Genomic DNA, 24,621 nt, shown 5'->3' on the forward strand with positions numbered 1-24,621 from the left:
AAATTTGTATTAAGTTTCTTTCTAGATATTTGATAATTTTACAGCTATTGTAAGTGGTAATTTAAATTTCTTTTTGTTTCCATTTATTTACCTCTAGTGCATAGAAATACTTGAATTTTGTATATTGACCTTGCAGTCAGGGTTCTGGCAAGCTTCACTCATTATTCCTAGTGGCTTTTTTGGCAGTTTAAAAATTGTCTACATTTCTAATCACTTCATCTGTGAATCTTTTTCTGTCTCTTTTGCTTATTTACTGGGTGATTTCCTTAGCTTTATTTTCCATGAACTTTTAGCTTTTGTTTTTAACTTTGGGACCCTATCACTTCTCTTTGAAAGCTCTTCGATTTTTTTTTTTTTTTTTAGAACATCTTGCTCTTGTTTTGTGAATGCAATGAAACCTCAAATTAATCAAGTTACATTATTCTTATGTTGCTTTTTCTGATTTTGCCTCTATAATTTTTATGTATTTTTTAAAAATCTCTTTCATGCCATTTTTTTTATATACCTAGTAATCCTTACTTGTTTATTTATATTTAAGAAATAACTGCTCAGCTAATAAGGATCTCCTCTGCTGCTATGTCTCTTTTCCCTTCTGTCTCTCTTTTGGATGAGAATATTCCTGGCTGCCAGCAGGAGACAGAGCAGAACATGTCAGCTGGTCAACTTTCCTCTGCTTCAGTGAAGAAGGCAAAGCTCTCAGACTGTTGCCCTTTCTTCTGTAAGAATGTGATGAGAAGGACTTAAACCTGTGATGCCAACATCTACACTAGGCATATTTCAAATATCTCATTCAATTTCCTTAGCAATGGCAGCCTCACTGCCTGTGCCAGGTAGGGGAGATTGGGAGCAACTATTCCTTATGAATACTCCTTTAGGGAATCCTCTTGTGTTTTCCTTATTTCTAACAGTTTGATCTCTCAAACATATGTACGGCCATTTCTCTGAAGCTCCCTTGTAGCATATTCTGAGCAGTGGCTCTCATGCACTGTCTTCCCTCAACATGCTCTACTTAATGTGCTTTCATAGGTATGTTTATTACCTGCTGGTCTCTAACCTCCTTATCTATCTTACTTGCTTTGCTTTTTGTGTCTATTCTTATATAAATACTAGTATATGTTTGTGTGTGTGCCTGTGTGAACACACACAAGTATATATATGCATATATATAGTGCATATTTTATATGTGTAAAAGTATATATGAGGAATATATACAATATACAGATTTTTATATATGTGTGTCTATGTACATGTGTGTATATATATGTATATATGTGTAATATTTTTTATTGGCTACTGGAGAAGAACAAAAGGGTAACATAAATCTGCTATCTTGAAGCAGAGTCCTGAATTTTTTTTTTTTTTTTGCATGGTACACAGTCAAACTACAAGTTTACTCTTCTTAACATTGGAATCCTGTTGCTTTAAAATAATTATTATTGAGGTTTATCATTGTTGTTAGACAATTCTACATGGATCTCATGTTTATGCACAAGGATATTTGTCTAATGAAGAGCCTTGGAAAATAGAGATAGTCTTCTTCTGGAGAAATATACAGATTTGTTTGCTGTCCAAGATAATAAAGAGAATGCTTATCACCAGGGCAAAAGTTAGGAAGATTTACTAGCCACCTATTATAAAAGATTGGGATTTTCTAAGCTCAGTCCCTCAAGCTAATCTTCAAGTGGACAGCATCTCCCTGGACTGTTCTGCATCTCTCAGGGGGACTTCAGGGGCAAGGGGAATCACACAAATATGAAACTGTGTCATGTGTAATAAAGTTCTTTGTCTCTGATCCGAGAAACTTGTATCTTCTACCAGAATTCATGATATTTACCTCAGGCTAACTAGTTAGTTTGCAAACGGTGTGCAATTTAAGGAGTACATATTGTATACAGGACAGAATATAGAAGGTGGAATTAGTGGTTTCAACGTGTATTATACTAAATCTTGGTGTCTTGGCTAGTCTCAAAGATACCAAGATTTAGTATAAAACAAGTTGAAACCACTAATTCCACATTCTAAACTTTGGTTGCTATCATTTTGTTTGATCTTGAGAAGTTACTGTAACCTTGACATTCACATTCAATCTCTTTTACAGTCATTTTAGAGGGTCTCTAGAGAAATTAGAACTAAACAGATATATTCAACCTACCATTATTAACTGAAGTCCTACATAAATGCTGTAAAGTTTACATCTTAAACTACAAAACATTGAAATAGAATCTGTTAAAAATATTATTATTTCAAGCCATGGAAGCTGAAGATGTGTGCAGAGAAAGACTTTTTTTTTAACTATACATTTTTCACACTTCTGTGAAGCTTCAATGTTCTTGTCACTTACTGACATTACTTTAGTCTGTACATTGTTGCTTAAACTCATACAAACTAGTTTAAAATGATAATATTTAAGGAAAAAAATTTGAAAGCATAGGAACAAAAACCAAAAAACTAAATATGTTAAAAGTGGTTTTGTCTGAGTGAAGCAAATAACTTGGGGTGATATTTTCCTATAGTTTTCCAAATTTTTCTATATGCATAGTTTTCAATCATAAAATGTTACAAATTTAATTTTAAGAGTGGGATAGCAAAGCCAGGCAGAGACACAACCAAAAAAGAGAATTTTAGACCAATATCCTTGGTGAACATTGATGCAAAAATCCTCAATAAAATACTGGCAAAACGAATCCAGCAGCACATCAAAAAGCTTATCCACCATGATCAAGTGGGCTTCATCCCTGGGATGCAAGGCTGGTTCAATATACGCAAATCAATAAATGTAATCCAGCATATAAACAGAGCCAAAGACAAAAACCACATGATTATCTCAATAGATGCAGAAAAAGCCTTTGACAAAATTCAACAACCCTTCATGCTAAAAACTCTCAATAAATTAGGTATTGATGGGACGTATTTCAAAATAATAAGAGCTATCTATGACAAACCCACAGCCAATATCATACTGAATGGGCAAAAACTGGAAGCATTCCCTTTGAAAACTGGCACAAGACAGGGATGCCCTCTCTCACCACTCCTATTCAACATAGTGTTGGAAGTTCTGGCCAGGGCAATTAGGCAGGAGAAGGAAATAAAGGGTATTCAATTAGGAAAAGAGGAAATCAAATTGTCCCTGTTTGCAGACGACATGATTGTATATCTAGAAAACCCCATTGTTTCAGCCCAAAATCTCCTTAAGCTGATAAACAACTTCAGCAAAGTCTCAGGATACAAAATCAATGTACAAAAATCACAAGCATTCTTATACACCAACAACAGACAAACAGAGAGCCAAATCATGAGTGAACTCCCATTCACAATTGCTTCAAAGAGAATAAAATACCTAGGAATCCAACTTACAAGGGATGTGAAGGACCTCTTCAAGGAGAACTACAAACCACTGCTCAAGGAAATAAAAGAGGATACAAACAAATGGAAGAACATTCCATGCTCATGGGTAGGAAGAATCAACATCGTGAAAATGGCCATACTGCCCAAGGTAATTTACAGATTCAATGCCATCCCCATAAAGCTACCAATGACTTTCCTCACAGAATTGGAAAAAACTACTTTAAAGTTCATATGGAACCAAAAAAGAGCCCGCATCGCCAAGTCAATCCTAAGCCAAAAGAACAAAGCTGGAGGCGTCACACTACCTGACTTCAAACTATACTACAAGGCTACAGTAACCAAAACAGCATGGTACTGGTACCAAAACAGAGATATAGATCAATGGAACAGAACAGAGCCCTCAGAAATAACGCCGCATATCTACAACTATCTGATCTTTGACAAACCTGAGAAGAACAAGCAATGGGGAAAGGATTCCCTATTTAATAAATGGTGCTGGGAAAACTGGCTAGCCATATGTAGAAAGCTGAAACTGGATCCCTTCCTTACACCTTATACAAAAATCAATTCAAGATGGATTAAAGATTTAAACCTTAGACCTAAAACCATAAAAACCCTAGAAGAAAACCTAGGCATTACCATTCAGGACATAGGCATGGGCAAGGACTTCATGTCCAAAACACCAAAAGCAATGGCAACAAAAGCCAAAATTGAGAAATGGGATCTAATTAAACTAAAGAGCTTCTGCACAGCAAAAGAAACTACCATCAGAGTGAACAGGCAACCTACAAAATGGGAGAAAATTTTCGCAACCTACTCATCTGACAAAGGGCTAATATCCAGAATCTACAATGAACTCAAACAAATTTACAAGAAAAAAACAAACAACCCCATCAAAAAGTGGGTGAAGGACATGAACAGACACTTCTCAAAAGAAGACATTTATGCAGCCAAGAAACACATGAAAAAATGCTCATCATCACTGGCCATCAGAGAAATGCAAATCAAAACCACAATGAGATACCATCTCACACCAGTTAGAATGGCAATCATTAAAAAGTCAGGAAACAACAGGTGCTGGAGAGGATGTGGAGAAATAGGAACACTTTTACACTGTTGGTGGGACTGTAAACTAGTTCAACCATTGTGGAAGTCAGTGTGGCAATTCCTCAGGGATCTAGAACTAGAAATACCATTTGACCCAGCCATCCTATTACTGGGTATATACCCAAAGGACTATAAATCATGCTGCTATAAAGACACATGCACACGTATGTTTATTGCGGCATTATTCACAATAGCAAAAACTTGGAACCAACCCAAATGTCCAACAATGATAGACTGGATTAAGAAAATGTGGCACATATACACCATGGAATACTACGCAGCCATAAAAAATGATGAGTTCGTGTCCTTTGTAGGGACATGGATGAAATTGGAAATCATCATTCTCAGTAAACTATCACAAGAACAAAAAACCAAACACGGCATATTCTCACTCATAGGTGGGAACTGAACAATGAGATCACATGGACACAGGAAGGGGAATATCACACTCTGGGGACTGTGGTGGGGTGGGGGGAGGGGGGAGGGATAGCATTGGGAGATATACCTAATGCTAGATAACGAGTTAGTGGGTGCAGCGCACCAGCATGGCACATGTATACATATGTAACTAACCTGCACAATGTGCACATGTACCCTAAAACTTAAAGTATAATAATAAAAAAAAGAGTGGGATAGTAAAGAAGAGACAATTATAAAAAATCAACCTGAGATCAAACACTCAACTAAGCCAATGTCTAGGGAATATAAAATGGTTAATTCAGGCAAAGACCAATACCCTGCACCATCTTGCCCTCTAACACTTAAATGAAAGTTTGTGTTTGCAATATTGACATGAAGGCTCTAAAAATCCTCAGACAACAAAGAAAGATATAGCTATGCTTGCAACATGGGAATTTGCTAAGGGCATTTTGTAAGGATTATTTTAAAAGTGTTGAAATAATGATTTTCTGACTAACCTACAATTAACCACAACATTAAGTTAACCCAAATGTTGCAGTTCCTTCAAAGTTCTGCATAATTACAATCTTCCCACTGTTTCATACTTACCTCCCTAGGATTTTTTTCCTAGGGAGTTATTCTATATATTAAACAACCAAACACAGCCCAGGCATTCAAAGCTGAACTTCTTTCCATAATTAAAAAAGTACTTTAAAAAGCCAACTTCTTTCTGTACTTAAAATAACACTATCGGATCTGGCTACATGGGAATCCGGCAGAGGACATGTCCCACTGCCCTGGACTCATTGAATTACTGTGGCCCCAGGAGGTACATTTTTCTATCATTTTGGAATTCTGATTTTTTAAATTTTAAATTAATTTACTGCTTCAAAAGCACCAGTGATATTCTTGTATATCTCTGTCCCAATCAAAATCTTAATATGTGAATAGCACTATGCAAGACACAACAGAAGACATACAGAAGAAAACAAATTCTATCTTTAAGAAGCTTACCATTCAGAAGGAGAAACCAGATGTAAATATAGCAAACCATTAAAAAAAAAAGCACGCTGAAGGCCGGGCGCTGTGGCTCACGCCTGTAATCCCAGCACTTTGGGAGGCTGAGGTGGGAGGATCACGAGGTCAGAAGATCAAGGTCATCCTGGCTAACACGGTGAAACCCTGTCTCTACTAAAAATACAAAAAATTAGCCAGGCGTGGTGGCACGCACCTGTAATCCCAGCTACTTGGGAGGCTGAGGCAGGAGAATCTCTTGAACCCAGGAGGCAGAGGTTGCATTCAGCTGAGATGGCGCCGCTGCACTCCAGCCTGAGGGACAGAGCAAGACTCCGTCTCCAAAACAAAAAGCAAAAAAAAAAAAAAAAAAAAAAAAAAAAGCACGCTAATGAATTGCAATAGGACCCTCACACAGGAGGGGGAACTGTGTGGGATGGCAGAGTGTAAATGCCCAGGGGAATCAGAATATACAGTCAGGAATTTGAACTATACCCAGCTTTTTGTGCAATGGTGAAAAAGGCTCCAGCTTGAGACTAAAAGAGATTCAGATGTGTCTAGGGACATCTGGCAAAAAAAGCAGTGTCAGCCCCCAGAATCTTGTCTGCATAAAGACTGAGAAATTTTCTGGAAGAGGACTGGTCCCGAGAGAGGAATGATCCAGGAAAGATTAGGTTGACTCAGTAAAAAAGTCTGTGTCATGGGATGAGGAAGATAATTCCGAACACAGCAAGTCTGAGATTCATCCCTACCTTAACTCCAGTTCAGCTTAGTCTGAGTATGATGGGAAGCAGAGAGTTCTAAGTAAATGCTGAAGTGGTTTTACTTTGTGACATGAGCAACTCTGCATTGGAATTCCCTCTAGCAGAACTTAACAGAAAGAAAAAGTCTCCCCTGACCACTTTTCCATAGGGTATAAATCATCACACAGCTTTGGTGCCCTGAAGTCACAGCATGGTGCCTGGCAGAGCTGGCACTGTGTCTGCCATGCCTTGCCAACTGCCTGAGGGTGGTCAGTCAGGAGAAAATGCCATGCCTTACGGATCAGTCACAGAGACAAGATACTTGACAATGGAATAGAGGCAGCATCTGGAGCAGGCTTTTAAACCCAACACAGCGTTAGCAGCAGCCACGGAGAGACTGCTGAACCAGTCAAATGTCAAGCCTGGAATAGCAGAAATGTACCAGCCATGCCCAGTAGAGCAGCAACAACCCCAACTTAGAAACAGCTGTGTCCCACAACATAAGCTCCAACTTATCTGTGGCCATATGAGAATGTAGGGAAAAACTGTCCGTAGGGTAAAAACTTCCAGGGGTTGAGGGGACCTGTGTCAGCGTAAGAGGACATGTAATAGTGACATTGGAGTCTTTAATGTTAGCATGCCTCACAGATATCTGCAGGAAGGAGAGATCTTGAGAAATCTGGGCTATACAATTAGTCATTTCTCAATGCAAGTGTAGGAAAGACAGCCTTTAGCTTTGGTGTTCAATATTAGGTCTATAACAAAGCCAAAAATAACATTAGGTATGTGTACAGAAATAGTGTCTTTATGCCTCATGTTGATTATCTGTTATATAAGGAGCCTTAGAGAATCACAATACTAAGATGCTACAATGATAGAACTCAAGTAGACCAGCCCTCTGATGTTCAAATATGAGAGTGAGGCTCAGAAGAAAGAAAGCCAAGCACTGACTGGTGGTGGAACAGGAAGAAGAACAGAAATCTTCTGACTTTCAGCCCAGGGATCTTTGCATGACACTATAAGGACTCAGGGAGACCTAAGGAGAAACAATAAGCCTGACCATTTGATTCTAGAAAGTGTTAGCAAATAACTTATCTTCAGCCATTCTGTACAAATAAAAACAAAGTGGTGAATTTGTGCAAGAATGGTTAAGATGCTCTTTCCTGGAATGTGAATGTGTTTATATATACATTTCTATTAATTTGGAAATGTAAATGCCAGGATTGATTTCTGGAATAATGCCTTAAAAATTAGAAACACCATTAGAATTAGATTCAGAACTGAAAAAGTTTGCACAACTTTTTGTTTTCTCTGAGGAATGGATGAAGCAAACATTGAGGGGGGAAGTGAAGAACGGAGGCACGCAAGCAAAAACAAGAACCAGAATGAGGAACGAAAATAGAAGAGGAAGTAAGTAGAGGAGAAAGAGCCACATGAGAAGCCTGGAGTGTCTACGTGAATGAGGTGGATGGGTAGAACTCCATTCAGAGGACACTGAACATGAAGTTCATCTGTTTTAACTGGTGTGATTTACTTGACATAAGTGACAGCCCGAAACAGAAATAATAATCATCTGTCAAACAATTTGTTTCACTGTTTCTTGACTGTCCGGCATGTTGTTTTCTTTTTTTAACCTAACCTGCCTGTTTCCTTGACCAGTCAAGTCAAAACAGACAACCCAATGTGTACATGTTAACACAGGCTCTCTCTTGAGTTAATGGCTCAGAAGTCTGAGTCATTGCCCTGAGAACCCCAGATTCTAACTATTCTCTTCTTCTAAATTAGAATGGGATGGCCTCTGTTTATATTTTCGTTAAATAGAACCACATGATTGCAACCTTGCCGCTGGGGGTTGTTAGCAGAGAATTTATTAGCCTGAGCCAGTATCCTTGACTGCAGGGCTGCTTTGGTTGCTGGAGTACACCCTCGATTTGCTATTTTTCCTCAAGAGTTACACTTTAGTGGGTTTCTCCTAGGGGCCTGTGTCTGTATATTGAAGGAGAAAAGAAAAATGAGTATGTCCTTTACATGATCCAGCTGTCTCTGCTACTCCAACCCTCTCTGCTATATTATCAGAGCTTTCCACGTGAAGTCTGAAGTCCCCACAAAGGAAAAGTAAAAGATTCGCTTTCACTTATCCTGTGAAAATATAATGGACATATTCCTGGGAAGTGGCAGTGGCTTACTAGGTCTCTGGTCCTTTTTCACATGTAATAATCAAGTTAGAAATTTTCTTAAGGTGTCTTCCTTTTACTTAAAAGGTTGTCTCCTCTGAACTCTCATATACCCTTTGAGGCCCAGACTAGATGCCACCACCTCCATGAGGTTCTCCTTGATTCTTCCCACCCCATCTGAAAATCCACACTTTTTGGATTTGTGTTTCCCTTCTCTGTGTCCTTAGATTCCACTTCTCCATTCCCTGCTTTGTATCATGCTGATGTCATCTACAAATGTGTCAGCTCCCTGATGCTGGTAATTATGTTTTAACCATCATGTTTCTAATAGAGTAATGAATGTTAACTCAAAATGAACTGGCAGAAGGCTAATAGGAAAAGCCTGAGGATGAGGCAAGGGGAAAGGAGGGAGGGGTTATTGGTAGCTGAAAAGAATGTAGAGGGAGAAAGAGGAAAAGACAAGATTGTTCGGTATTACCATGGAAGAGGGTACAGGGTGGTGGGAGGAGCTTGCAGGATAAGACAAGGGGAAGCTCAGAAGGAGGATCACTAAGATGAAGACAGAACAGAAAGTGGTCAGAAGTCAGTGAAGGGCTGCAGTTGGAGTAAATGCTGCCATAATGGTGTGGACAGTAGTTCCTTCCTTGTGGGAAGGGGAGGAAGGTGAGGACGGCAGGGAAGAGCAATCATCTCATCCCAGGCTACCTCTCCTTCCCATTTCTTCCAGAAGTATGCCTTGTTCCCCAGGCTTACCAGCCTCTGTGACACCTCGTTATTCTGTCACCAGTCCTCATGCAGAGGTTTAAGCCTATTCTTCTCTCCATAGCTCCAGCACCAGAGGAATTCTGAGATTAAATTCCCTGAGTCTGCTCCGTCTTTCAGGTGTAAATAAAACATGATTGTCCTTAGATTACAAAAGTGTACAGTTAACATGTATGTATGGTCTTCTTTTTCATCTATGTTTATATATATACACACACACACACACACACACACACACACACGTACATATGTACATACAGGGGTGAGATTTTTGACTTTCTATATCACTTCTCTTATAATCAGGTAATCAAATTCATTATGAAACCTCAGAAAGGATGTTGAGTCTTCAATAACACTAGGAAGGAAGATATGCTGTTCAGAAGCAAGAACTGTTGACAGTGTAAATGACAGGCCAATCCCTGGAGTCCTAGGAAGAAAATAAAAAGATAATAAAGAGCAGCCTGTACCAAGAAATTGTCTTTGAGGGTTTATATAGAATAAAAGATCTTCCCGTCCTAAAGGAGCCATCCTTTGATCCCACCCCTCAGTAGTCTCTCTTCTTACTGCTTCATTGCCTCCTAACCTCCCAACCACTTTCCCAAAATGGGAACCACAACATGGAATTTGGATTTTGAGTAGTCCCTGATCCTCTTGCTGACAAGGTTTAGGAAGGAAACAGAGGGAGGATCTGTGATTCTGTTCTTTCAGTAGAAGGTGAAAGTAGTTTTTTAAGATATTTCATAGGCATTATCTTATCTGAGCCTTGCAACAATAACCCAGTGAAGACAAAAAGCAACTTTTATAATCTGCCCTTCTCCATTCAGTTAAAGAAACTCAGAGCTAAAAAGGGTTCTGAGAATTTTCTAAAATCATTCAACTAGTGAGGAACCAGCCTGGCCTTCTACTACAAAAGGCAGTGATGCTTTCACCACCTCTTCCTACTTCTTGGTTCACTGATGATGGTTCTATGCTATTAAGATGGAAACTATTTATTGGGTACATTATGGGTCCAACAGGCTTTAGTGAACTGGGCTGACCTGGGGAAGTAACCATCAAACATGACTTTGTTTCATCGGAAAAATTTGTTCTGGGTTCTAAACAGCTGATTTACATACAATATTTTAGTACACAGCTCATTTTAAATTGAGGACTGCCTGTACTAAGCTTCTAACTTCTAAGGATAGAAAGATAGTCCCTTTTATTTTTCCTGTTCTGCTTTTGGAAACTACCAACAAGGGTGCCAATTAGCACCAGATGGGACAGGGACTGTGTGATGTGGAACTCCGACCACTGGGAACTGGAACAAGTCCACTAATGTATTAAGCAATCGAAGAGCCAGAAGTTGGGCAGGCTTCAAATTTGGCACAATGTAAAGTTCGGATCTGTAAAGGCCCAGCTTTATACACAGAATCTGTCCCTTCTCGACTCACTGCCTATGAAGACTAGCAAGGGGAATGGGAATTTAGAACTCTAATACCTTCAAGCCTGTAGACTTTTATTTGCATGTTGCCTTTCACTCTGTATCTTTTCTCCATTTTGAACTTGAGTAAATCTTTATGGAATAATTAAGAGGAGGTGTAAATGCTTGTTTATCTTGGAAACCTGGATTTTAAGTCTATAATTCTTACTTAGCTGCCTTTACTTTCTGGATATCTTGATTTTTTAAATAATAACTCTGCATACGTCCAAAGTCAAAATTAAGAGTAGAAATGAAACATCAGGTTAACTCAAACTCAAAGGTAATTGAGATTTAAATGGTATGTTTACTAAAAACATAGATAAGTGAAGCAACATGGGAATTTCTATCGATATTATTCAGATAAATGTCTATTTTCTTCTCCTCGTTTAGCCAGCCACGTGCCTTCAATGCAAGTTTAGCTTGCTGAGTTTTGTCACTTACCACTCATGCTGTACTACATTAGCTTTCCCAGGCAGTGATCTAAATCACCTTGAAGACTGTTGAACACAAGATAAATTGAACGCAATCTTGCCTCAGCTTCATACAGCCTGTATTTAATAGAAATGAAGTTAGGTTTTGCCTATAAAATGAGTGTCTTAGATCTGAGCACTACTTTCCAAATTTTTTTCTTATTATGGCACATATGGAAAATGATATTATTTAGTAGTGCTCACTGGTCTAAAGAGATAGATAAGGTAGCTCATGGCTAGGGAAAAGTGACTGAGGGCTCGAGGTACCCCAGATTCTGCCCAGCCAAAATAGGGCTGGGGGATCAATACCTTGACACACCTGGATTAGTAGCACAATGTGTTCACATCTACCACTGGGAACACCAGATTGGAAGCTCTGTAGTAAAAGATATTTAAGGACTATTTGGAGATTCTATGACTTCTTTATAGTATAATTTACTGGGACTTGACCACCGATGTGTGATTTGGGTATTATGGTTCAAAACTTTCTAAATCATAAACTGATCCCAGAATGTTTGATGCTTGGTTAACAGCATGGAAAGGCCCCTAATGCTGGGATGACCAACTGTCCCAATTTGACCAAGAATGAGGGGTTTCCCATGACGTGAGACTGTCAGTGCTAAAAGCAGGGCAGTCCTGTATAAACCAGGGCAGTTATCTCCTACCTACACTGTATTAAAATCCTTTATTAAGGAAACAAAGAAAAGAGAATCCAGGGTTTCTGCTTTCAGGGCTTGGTGTTTGTTGTAGTCTTTCTTCCCCGGCCATTGGAACCAGAGGCAGCACCCCTGTGAACTGGTCATAGAGTCCAGGTCATCTATGGTTTAAAAAGCAGAAGGCTATGATTTTTCTTATAAAATGTTTTCCTTTGTAGAGTTGTTTTTGCCAGTTCCAAGAGGAAATAGTGGGCTGAAATCAAGAGGCATGACTGGATGACTAGTACTAAGCAAATGATTCGTGCAAAGATTTCACTGGAAACATTCAGACTCATAACAATAGTAGTTCTGACATGACTACCTCTTGCCTGAGAAACTCATAAACATGGCCTCTAGGCTATACTTTTTTTTTCAGCAGCTGCTGGTTCTTTAATTTAATTATAAGTTACAAGTAAGCTTCTTAAAGAGGCCATGTGTGTACCAAACAGTGTTCAGAGGACACTCCGTTCACAAATTTTATGACAGTCAGCACTGTTGGAATTACATGTTCTAATATGAGATGGGTGGACTGGTGTGGGAGAAATAAGAGCCACCATTCTCCTCCTCCCCCACCCAGACTTAAACCAAAATTGTTTTTGAGGTTCAAAAATATTCACATGACAGCTTTCTATGTTTGGCTGGGGCAGACTAAACTGCAATGCCAAGAAAATGGTTCCTTCTAGCTTTAATTCTAATACAGATGTCACAGGACCTGAGAGGTGCTTCAGTGCTGGGTCCTCGCTCTCACGCAGAGCTCCTGTTTCATTATGAACATTTATTATGCACTTACTTTTGTGCACAGAACTAGGCTTTGCGCTGAATGAGAAATGCGTAAGGTAACAATCTTTGCCCTCAATGTACACACCATGTCTTGAGGGAAAAGCCATCAAAGCAAGTAATTTTTACACAAAGCAGAATAAAAGAATAGAAATGTAAAAACATAAAAAAGGAAGAAATGGCATGTGAGCTGGTGGTATTTGGCAGGGTTCGCCATGTCAGTGAAAGGGGTGAAATTTGAAGTTCTAGAAACACACAACAGGAAGTTTTTTTCTCTTGCCATTACCCACCAAGACTAACATACTCTTGCTTCTCTGAGATCCATGTCACACAGAAGCCTCTTTTCCGAATGAACGTTGACTTTGAAGTCAGACAGATTTGAGTTTGAATTCCACCTCTGTCAGGCATGAACTGTGTGACTCTGGGAAAATTAGTGTCTCTAAATTGATTTTCTACGTTATAAAAGAGAATAACCAAAACCAGCTTTATAAATGTAGAAGAGGTAAGATATGTAAAATTACCTCATACAGATCTTCTACAAATTGGGCAATTTATGAGAGAGAGGGAGAACTACATGTAGTGGGAAGACTTGTACTGTACTCTCTCATGGTGTATAATAGCCCCCAGCTCTTTCATTATTAGAGAAACCAACAATACATTTTAAACTTACGGTAAATTAGATTCATTAGAATCTCAGATTCTAAGAATGAAATCCTTAGAATTGAATTAGACTCATTGTTTTCGTATTAATGTCTTTTTCTAAGGAGATGGTGGAGTTAAAGATGCATGAAGGAATGAAGGGAGAAGATGTGTAAGTATGTGGACAGCCAAAACCTGACAAAAAAGAATGAATATAGTTCAGAAGAAAATGCATATTTCATGTCCTATCTTCCAGTAAAAACTAGTACATATTTATCTTTTACATGTGTTTTATTATATCTTTGGTTACTGATATTTGGTCAAATGTAAACAAAACACTCATTGGATATACCAAGCATCACTTACAATGATGCAGCTTTATTCTTCTGGAGAAATTGTTGGAGGGAATTGCAATATGGTTTTGCAATGTGTGTAACATTTTGGCACATACTAGTGATAATTTTCAATGATTTTTCCCCTTCATGAATATATTCCAGATATTAATTTGAGACTCTAATATGAGGAGACCAACTTAGGTAACCCAGTGGTTCAGGGTTAGCAGGTTGGATGTGATTATCTCCAAAAGTCAACTCCCCTCTCCCGCCTCCTTTAGCCATCTTTTCCACTGCTTATTTCTTCTTACCATTAGTAATATTTTTTCCCTAATACCTATTTCAGCTTTTCTTCCTCAATAACTAGCTGTCTTCAGTAAAGAAAAAAACCACACTCCCTTTTAAACTACAAAGATAGCATCTTTCCCCACTTTTAGACTCAAATAAGAAGAGGAGCCGTACAAGGGGTAGAGCTTGGTAGATGACAGAAGAGGTGCAGAGGAAGAAAAGAGCAAGGCAAGCATGGTCTCTGTTTCCCTCCTTTTCTTGGCCCACATACTATTTTCTCCTCCAAGTTCCTGACTAATTACAAATTCACTGTGGGAGGCTGTTGTGCTTTCCACCTGGTTTCCATTGCACGGGAAGGAGATCAGTGCCCAAAACACATTTCAGTGCCTGACATGGAAATGCCAAGAGTTGAGATACCCTACTGAGCAATATTGATAGATAAGCAACAAGTCACATCTCTATCAAGTCATTTTTTAAAAAATATCTACATCGATTTCCTTTTGCTAGATGAGTCAAATGCTCACAACTGTAGTTCTGTCATACTTGGCAGAGTAACACTACATGTTTTTTTTTCTGGTTAAGAATTCTGTGATCTTCAGCAAATTTGCTTGTTCTATCACTGGCTCCATTTCTTTGGGATTTTTCTCAAAATTATCACAATGTTCACTGCCCTCAGTTTCAATGTTGGGTACAATAGGTCTATTAGTTTTATCCAATGCTAAAATTTCTTTTTAAAAACTTCTGGGAAATTAACTACTGAATACATCAAATGTGTGGAGAAGGTAACCTACATCCATTCATTCGTTTATTCATTTAGACAACAATATTTAGTTAGCTCCTACTATGTAACGAGCACTGTATGGGCAGTGGGGATACAGCAATGAAGAAAAAGAAAAAAAATTAAAAGACAATATCCTCTGTATCATGAGTTTTATGATAAATATTCTGTGATGAGAGAGACAAAATACATAACATAATAAACAATTGTATTACATAATATTTCAGAGAACAATACTTAGGATAACAGAGATGAAAGGTGCTGGATGACAAGAGTATGATTTTATACAGGATGATCATGGGTATCTGAGAAGGTGATATTGAGGAAAGAATTAAAAGAGGTTAAAAAGCAAACCAAACGGATAGAAAGGAATACTACTACAGGCAAAGACCCTGAAGTGGAACATGGTTATGAGATGATACCAGGTGCACTGGCTGACCATATTATCTTGGGCTGTATAGAGTCAGAAACATGATTTTACCACAGCACTTGAAAATCAAGCTAATAAAACATGTTCAAATAAAATATTACTCTATTTCCTTCATGTTAGGCTCAGAAAAATTTTACGCTAAGTGAGATCAGCGTTCCCTCCTTTCAGACTTATCCGTTGATACTACAAAACACTGTAAACAATATAACTACAGAGCAAGTGTTATCAATGTTCAAAAACATGAATGTTGTTTTCCATTGTAATATAATGAATACACACTGAGTTGTTTGCTTTTGGAAAAAAGTAAATGTTGGAATACATTCTATAAACATGGTTTAAGTTATGTTATAAAGTTACACTTTCTAGGCAGTTTTACTGGTCTTATAGCCATCAGCCAAAAGTCTCAGGTGCTTAGGTCGGTGGAAAAATAAGCTACTGTCTTAGAGTTTTCAATAAAACAGTCAAAAAAGAGGTTGATCTTAAAGAAAAACTAACATAGAAACTAATATTATTTTAGAGATCCATTTTTTTCTGTTTTACTTTATATTATTCACATTAAAATACTTTATAGGTTTATTTCTCTCAAAGGATTTAGGTTTTTTCCAAAACGTCAACTCAGTCTTCAAAGTTGGGTTTAAATTAAGATTGAGAAAAATATTTTTTAAACTCTTGTAATTTCTAATTATTTTTAATCATGTCTTTGACATTTTTCTTATCTATATTTAAAAAAAAAACTCAATTCATCCACCTAACAAAAAACTACTTGTACCCCAAAGCTATTGAAATAAAATTTTCTTAAAAAATCTCAAAAAAGACATTAACGATAGCAGAAAGGGACTCTTGAATCACCAACAGAAGGAAAACTTACATTTTCAAAGGAGGCTACAAGTAAAACTGATATAGTCATCTTTTTCCAAAACATAGTAGAGAATAAATTGCAAATAATTAAATTGGGTTTCTAGGCTGAATGATAACTTTTGAGAGCTGACATCTGATCACTGAGCTCACCTATTCAAATAAACGTAGTATTAGTTGGTCTGTTTTTCTTTCATTATATTTAAAGCTAGGAAAATCTAGATGGAATAACCAGTCTCTCTCACTGACAACTTTGTATTTTTCTGCTGCAAAGGAGCTCAATTTTCTTTACTCATTTTTTCTGTGTTTAAACAAACTCTAAATAAGCTTTATATTTTGAAACATTTATGTACACACAGCCTTATACACCTAACCCAAAAGAAGATAAAGTTAAATTTTAGTAACCTGAAGTTCTTCACTGAAGCCAACATGGAATGCCTCCTTCTTCTCCCACAGCAATGTCACGAGGAGAATGACAGCCTCCACACAATCTGTCCCGAAAGTCTTCTCATCTCTCCACTTCATGAGCCTTACTCCTGTAAGTACCATGTTCTTACAGCTTCACAAGGGAGCTGGCTCATCTGCTGAAGGAAATCCACACAAGCATGACATTAGCATGTCACTTTTAACACGATAATCCTCACTAGGGCTTCTCTGGGACAATTACCAAAATGTTCTCCGAGAATAAAGTAGGAAGATCATGAGAGCGGATTGGAGAGTGTGATGACTGAAGCAGTAAAATCATGCTAGAGAAAGAGGACCAAAGAGAAAAGTGCACATCAACAGCAAACACTCTCATTCACTTAGACCAATCATCATGGAGGCTGAAGGACTTTCTGGGTTTGGTCTCAAGAAAGACTGGAGAAATTAAGGCTGGTAGGCACCTGTTTTAGCTAACTAGATACAAACTTGTAAAAATGTTAAATTAAAAAAAAAAAAAAAAAAAAGAGTCTTCCTCCACCACAACCCCAGGCCACATTCACAGAAATAACTACTGTTCACTATAACAGTAGCTACATTTATAGAATATTGGTATTCTATGCCTATACAAAGAGGACATGTGTTTGTGTGTGTAAAACATACAAGATACGTAAATAAATATATATAATTCATGTATATGGGTTCCTATATATTCATCTGCTATCTATCTATCTATCTATCTATCTATAGATGTGAAGTATACCCATACTACCCATTGCTGGTATTATTCTAAAATGACTATCTCAGAATTTGTACACATTCTTCTGTGAATTATCTGTATTGCACTGGAAGGATTGATGGAGAGGAAAAAGGTATCTAAGATAAGGAGCAAATACAGAATTGGGTTTTTCTACCTTGGGAAGGGGCTGAAGAAATTAATATTGAGAAAATTTCAGAGGATATGATTTCTTAAGAGATAGAAAGTAAAAGCATATATCAGGGGAGAGGAGCAAAACTAATATCTGTGGCTTAGAAATGAAATTGTGGCCTTTGCTGATCTCTCTACTGCTGAGGATGCAGGCACATCACCAAAGACAAGAGATGCAGACTTCCAGGAGTGAAATAACAGAAAACAACCAGTGACTCACCGTGACACTGGAAATGGCTGTGAAGAACGCAGAATGCTGAGAGCCAACTGTCCAATGGATGAACATGAGAAAGAACTAAGACAACCCCTCGATTTCCTAAATATGCCAAAGGAAAGCCTCCCTTGGGGAATGGCTGATGCTTGGAATATAGATGGCATGTATAATTACTTAGTTTACAAACTGGGGTCAGTTTGACATTATATGATAAGCTGTAAGGAGAAGAAATCTTCTTACCTCTCTACGTTCCTAATTTGGCTGTAAATGTGGTGTGCTGCAGGCAAGTCACATTGGCACATGAGAGCAGACTGTTAAATTCTCAGAAATTTTGTAAACCAGTTGTTAAACACAGGCATCATTAAGAATTAAAGTATATAAACTTTCAAATAAATAAATTTTATCAAAAACAAAAATATATTTTTTCAAAACTCAACACTTCCTAATTATTATCATTTTACTATCATCTATGCTCTTGAAGTTATATTTTTATCTATTCTATGGGCATAATGGAAACAATATGTCCAGCTCACTTTCCAACTTTTCCCTTAGTTGCATCACACTGGTAGCTTGAGATCAGCTAAGGTAGAGGTATTCATATCACAAAAATTGGCAAACACTACAAATCAGGATTTCATTTGTCTTGTTGACTGTCTACACCACTAGTTCTCAACCAAGGTGACGTTTGCCCCTCCAATGCCTAACATTTGGCAATGTCTCGATAAATTTTTGGTTCTTCCAACGGGGGATTACTACTAGTATCTAGTGGGTAGAGACCATGGATGCTGCTAAATACCCTATAATTCACAGGACAACTGTATTAATCTGTCCTCACATTGCTAATAAAGACATACCAGAGACTGGGTTACTTACAAAGGAAAGAGGCTTAATTGATTCACCGTTTCACATGGCTGGGAGAACTCACAATCATGGAAGAAGGTGAGTGAGGAGCAAAGTCACACCTTACATGGCTGCAGGCAAGGCAGCGTGTGCAGGGGAACTCCCATTTATAAAACCATCAGATCTCAAGAGACTTATTCCCTACCATGAGCACAGTATGGGGGAAACTGCCCTTATGATTCAATTATCTCCATCTGGCCCTGCCCTTGACACATGGGAATTATTACAATTCAAGTTGTGATTTGGGTGGGAACACAGACAAACCATATCAACAACCTCCCATAACAAAGAATTATTCAGCCCCAAATGGCAGTAGTGCTAAGGTTGAGAAACCCTGGTCTAGACCTAATAAAGTGATATGGAAAATATTAATAGTGCAGATTAAAGTATCATATCTGTACTGGTTACATTGGCCTATGTCTGCCCTCCTTTCCTATCATCACAGACAACTTTAGCTAGCCTTCTGTCTTCAGAATTTTCCAGGCAAAGGCAGGTATAACTTCCTCAATTCTCAAATATCCCCAAGCCTAACAGAACCCACCTCAGGTGGAGTGATCTCTCACCATGCTTCACTCCTGTACCGCAATAGTATCTGACCCATGGAGTGATCTCTCACCATGCTTCACTCCTGTACCGCAATAGTATCTGACCCATGACTCCATCTGTTGCTCTTGGGGCCCTTTCTGACTTACTTGGTGGAGGGAGCAACATTAACATTCTCTTCTTCTATGAATTACCTCCAAATACAGCCTCCTCTAATTAAATCTCTATCTTCTACCTTCTATTCTATATTCTGGAATTAGCTAGTAGGATATGGGTCTCAGAACTAGCTTTGCTATCACATGGTAAATCTTGAAAGTTTATGTTAGGAGTGTGCATACTTAGAACTCACTGCTCTCAGCTTTGAGGCTTCAACTGAAACTTTAAATAACAGAAAAATTCCAAGGCAACAACCTATTATATATACTTGAAGAGTCCCATTGCAGGAGCTGGACAAAAGCAGGCTCTGTTTATAGAAAACCATTGATCAAAACTGAAACAAGTCTGATGTTCACGGTGAAACTATATAGTGGACCACAAACAGGGCCTCTAAGGTTGTGCAACTCCACCTGGGAGTGGCTGATGGGGTTCAAACTCTTCAAAGTTCCAAAGGGATTCTCTGGCCTTTAGTATTTGGACAGAAAGACATTGTGTAGATAGAACGCCCATGGACAGAAACCAACTAGGCATTGTGGGTTGAGTTCACTTTGGAAAATTTAGGCACACAGATTCAGTGATTCTAATAGGCCAATCAATCATCCACAAGAGTAAGAACTTCACACTGGCAGAGGCAAAGTCTGGATGACCTGTTCCATGAGGTCACCTCCCCTTGCCTTCTCCCATGCATTGTCATGGAGCTCCAATAACAGCTTCATGCTCCATCCACCTCAGTCCACACAGAGGTCTCTAACAGTCAAATGTTAGTTTTCTTTGAAGAACCTTAAAAAATGGCTATTTGCACAAGCTTCTTAAAGTCTGACAAAATCAAATAATTGAAATAGTAGAGAATAAAGTGAGTGGATTCAAAAAATCCACATGCCCCAAAAAAGAAATTCCATGAGTGAATAATCTGAGAAAATGAAAACCAGAACTAAACAAGTAAACATGTTCTTCTTCCTTGTATCCAAAATTTAAGTAGATTGTCACTTTCTTCCAGAAGGCACTTCACATAGTAGCCTTTGGTAACTGCTGACTTTACAGAGAGATTTATTGGAGGTAGGAAAGCTGTAATCACTGCCTTGCCAAAGCAGTAAACATAAGGGATTTACTTTCCATAACAATTTACTTGTATATTTTTAAAAATACTTCAAGAAGAATGTGCATTCGAAGAATATTTCATGGAAATGAGTATAAGATGCTAATTATAAGTTTGGGAACTTAAAAGATACCACATATTTAACACAAAATTACTGTCAAAAATTGTCCTACATGGTGGAACTGTATAACCATAAGTTATTGTAAGTTAAAAACTACCTTATTCCTTGTTACGATAACCAACAGGGACTCAAAAGACGTATAAATTTCTTCTTATATGGTGATTACCTGTCACTCCTTTGCCTTCCTCTGAAGGTGTAAAAAAACCAAGGCCGGGCACGGTGGCTCACACCTGTAATCCCAGCACTTTGGGAGGCCGAGGTGGGCAGATCACAAGGTCAGGAGATAGAGACCATCCTGGCTAACACAGTGAAACTCTGTCTCTACTAAAATTACAAAAAATTAGCCGGGCATGGTGGCGGGCACCTGTAGTCCCAGCTACTCGGGAGGCTGAGGCAGGAGAATGGCAAATAAGTTTTTATCAGAGTTATTCCAAAATGGAATGAGTATGGAATATTATTCAGCAATAAAAAGGAATGAAGGACTAATGCATGCTACAACACAGATAAACTATGAAGTGAAAGAAACCAGGTACAAAAGGCCATATGCTCTATGATTCTATTTACATAAAAGATCTGGAATGGATACATCCATAGAGACAGAATGCAGATTGGTTTTTGCCAGGAGCTGGGCAGAGGGGAAAAGGGGAGAACCCACTTGAAGGGTAAAGGTTTTAGGAATGATGGAAATGTTTTGGAACTGGATAGCAGTGGTGGTGGCACAGTGCTGTGAATGGACTAAACACCACTGAATTGTTCACTTTCAAATGGTTAATTTAGAAATAAGAGAGGAGAAATAACAACAAAAAAGTTGAATGAGTAGTCACAGGATTCCCAAGTTCCCTAGCAATTAAGTTGTTTTCTTCAGCATAGGCCAGAAGTTCACTCAATATAGACACAGTGACAGATATAAAGTCAAGGTTTAGACTAGAGAAACTCAAGATTCCTTCTAGTTAGAAACTATGATAGTCTGTGATGATTTGTCATGATCTCCAGAGCTCTTCAAATAAAAACAAAATTATCTCCTATGACCCACAAGTTCTGCATGGCCTCACTGAACAAACCCTGTGTCCCCATCGCACACATCCCCTACTTATCTCATCCCATGTTGCCTCTTGTTCTAACTGTCCTGCTTTCTTTCAGTCCCTCATACATACCGTGATCTCTCCCTTTCTCCAGACCCTTGCACATGCATTTATATTCCCTACAATGCCCTCCCCTTTCTACCTGGTTAATTCTCACTCGTCCTCCAAGCATCATTCCTTCTGAGAAGATGGCTGTCACTCATTGCACCAAGATAACAAGGATCAAATATAGAGGAACCAAGAAAGGAAAAGAGAATGAAGGAAGAAGTGACTGTGGAGGCAGGATGGGCAAGACTTAATGACCTTAGGGATTAAGAATCACTGATTGGATCACAGAGGCTTTGCCAAACGCAAACTTATTTACATTTATTTGACTATTTATCATAATTTACATCATTTACCTAGTACATCTTATTCATACTTATATACTATACATATATTATATACTAGATATTAAAGTTTGTCTTCAACACTCTAATGTCCTTTCTTCATCTAACTGCATGCTGCTTAGAAACAAATTATATTGGGCTGGGCACAGTGGCTCATGCCTGTAATCCCAGCACTTTGGGAGGACAAGGTGGGTAGATCACCTGAGTTCGGGAGTTTGAGACCAGCCTGACCAACATGGAGAAACCCTGTCTCTAATAAAAATACAAAATTAGCCAGGCACAGTAGTGCATGCCGGTAATCCCAGCTACTCAGGAGGCTGAGGCAGGGGAATCGCTTGAACCTGGGAGGCGGAGGTTTCAGTGAGCCGAGATCGTGCCATTGCACTCCAGCCTGGGCAACAAGAGTGAAACTCTGCCCACCCCAAAAAGAAAGAAAGAAAGAAAGAAAGAAAGAAAGAAAGAAAGAAAGAAAGAAAGAAAGAAAGAAAGAAAGAAAGAAAGAAAGAAAGAAAGAAAGAAAGAAAGAAAGAAAGAAAGAAAGAAAGAAAGAAAGAAAGAAAGAAAGAGAAACAGAAAAAGAAAGAGAGAAAGAAAGAAAGAAAGAAAGAAAGAAAAGAAAAAGAAAGAGGGAAAGAAAGAAATCATATTCATCCTTCTATGCTACAGTTCACCTAGCCCAAAGCCTTGTCGGTGGTCAGCATTATTTCTAAATAAATATATATTCAATGAATGAATGAATAAATTGTTGCTGTGGTTTGCTGTTTAAGTTTCCAGGTCTGTTAGCAAACCCCAGACTTGTAAAATACTTGAAGGGCTGTGTACACTCCTTCTTTGTATCTTTCTTTGTGCACTGCTAAATCTTAAGCATATGATAGGGTTCAGGACATTTCTGAGGAAGAAAGGAATGACGAGTGAATGATTTCAGGCTATTTCTCAAGGAGAATGAGGAGTTTATTCAAGCCACCACCAGTTTCTATGAGTATAATGAATGCATTCAAATGTAAGTCTACACAAAACCTATTTAGGTAAGGCAGGCAGCCACCCAACCTGGAAGGACATTAGATAGAGAGGATTATTGCTTTATCATCGGTGTCACACTCACAGCTGTGAACTCGTGTGCAGCATAGTTCTATAACCTCAGGGGGACTGTCAGCTGTGGATGCTGAAAACACAGTTCTGCCACCAACAGCCCCTTTCTATTACAATGAATGACCCTCCTGTAGTTGGTGGTTGCAGTTTCAGCCATGGTGGTAGTCAGGGTTTGTAACACATCTCTACCTTTCACTCACACCATCTCCCCAACACATTCCCAAGTGAGAGTCAGCAGCTAGCTCTTCAACAAGGTAGTTTCCCTATAAATCTCAGCAGGAAGCAGCCTGGTGAAATGGGAAGAACACAAGATTGAGGGCCAACTCTTGCATTCTGCTCCCAAATATTTAACAACTCCATGTTGTTATATGTAACAACTCCATGGAGACTTTAGGAAAGAGGAAGGCAACTAGTGGTTTGCTGAGCACCTATTCTGTGCCAGACACTTTGTATGTCATTTATTTAATCAGCATCATAGCTTTACCTTATAGTTAACATTGCCTCTTTTTCACAGCTGGGGCAACAGAGGCTGAACAACTTGCCCAAGGCCAAATGTAGGATGTATAGAGAATTTGTACCCAGTTTTTCGGGTAAACTATTTCCCTTTTCTCTGAGCCTCAATTTTACCTATAAAAGAAAGAGATTAGGTGTACATGATTTAACACCTGCATAATTTTTCTAGAAACTTTTAACCTATTCCCTGATTTGTAACCATTACCACAGGAAGTAACACTGTAGCAAGAAGTAAAACAGAAACTGTCAAAAATAGACAAAATGAAGAGATATACTAAATTGAGTTCATCTCTTTGAATATTGGATTATGGAGAAGGCAGGTAATCTTCATACATCAACCTTGTGTATTGAATTAAAGATATTTTTAATAAATTCAAATATAACATTTTAGTGATTCAACAAATAATTTTTTTTCAGATTTTAAACATTATGCTATCCTATTGTTTAGTTTGTCCAAAAGATATATGATTTATTGAAGCTATTAATGCACAATAATCTCACTTTTGTGCCTAGATTGGGACCCTTTAAGAAAAAAGTTTGAGGACTGGTGAATGGACACTTTTCAATGCATGTCTATTAACTCCAAGGGGGAAAAAAACTACATTATACTTATTCACTCCTATGTAAGTCAGTCTAAATAGAAGGAGATTAATGTCTTTCTCAGATGAAGGAGCTAGACAGTCCGGTACGCTTGTTTCACTGGCACATTATAAAAATCTCTGAAGCCAAGGACCAGGCTGCTTTGCCTCTTTAGGTAAGAGAGGTGTCCTCTTCCTGAGCTCTTCCCCCATACAGAGGAAGGATGGGGATCTTCTACTTTATAAGTACCTCTTTTGGGGATTGCAAGCCAATGTCAGCTTTCAGAGACGCCAATCTGGCACTCACAGAAGAATTAAGATCACT

General features: G+C 38.3%; 1 long non-coding RNA gene across 1 annotated transcript in view, besides 1 other annotated feature; it reads right to left on the bottom strand.

Annotated features, from left to right (window-relative positions):
* LYPLAL1-AS1 (LYPLAL1 antisense RNA 1) overlaps window positions 1-24,621 on the bottom strand; it is a 122,167-nt gene that overhangs the window by 17,835 nt on the left and 79,711 nt on the right. Inside the window, exon 2 of the long non-coding RNA NR_135822.1 lies at window positions 16,673-16,851. This is a non-coding gene — a long non-coding RNA (LYPLAL1 antisense RNA 1). The remainder of the gene's footprint in view (window positions 1-16,672; window positions 16,852-24,621) is intronic.
* Window positions 8,167-8,256: an enhancer, noted in NCBI's record as "active region_2547". NCBI's record gives its function as "activates an Ori minimal core promoter by ATAC-STARR-seq in GM12878 lymphoblastoid cells {active_cell/tissue: GM12878}" and the evidence as "EXISTENCE:reporter gene assay evidence [ECO:0000049][PMID:35858748]".

This window comes from Homo sapiens, chromosome 1 (assembly GCF_000001405.40).
Source record: "Homo sapiens chromosome 1, GRCh38.p14 Primary Assembly".
Classification (NCBI taxonomy): Eukaryota; Metazoa; Chordata; class Mammalia; order Primates; family Hominidae; genus Homo; species Homo sapiens.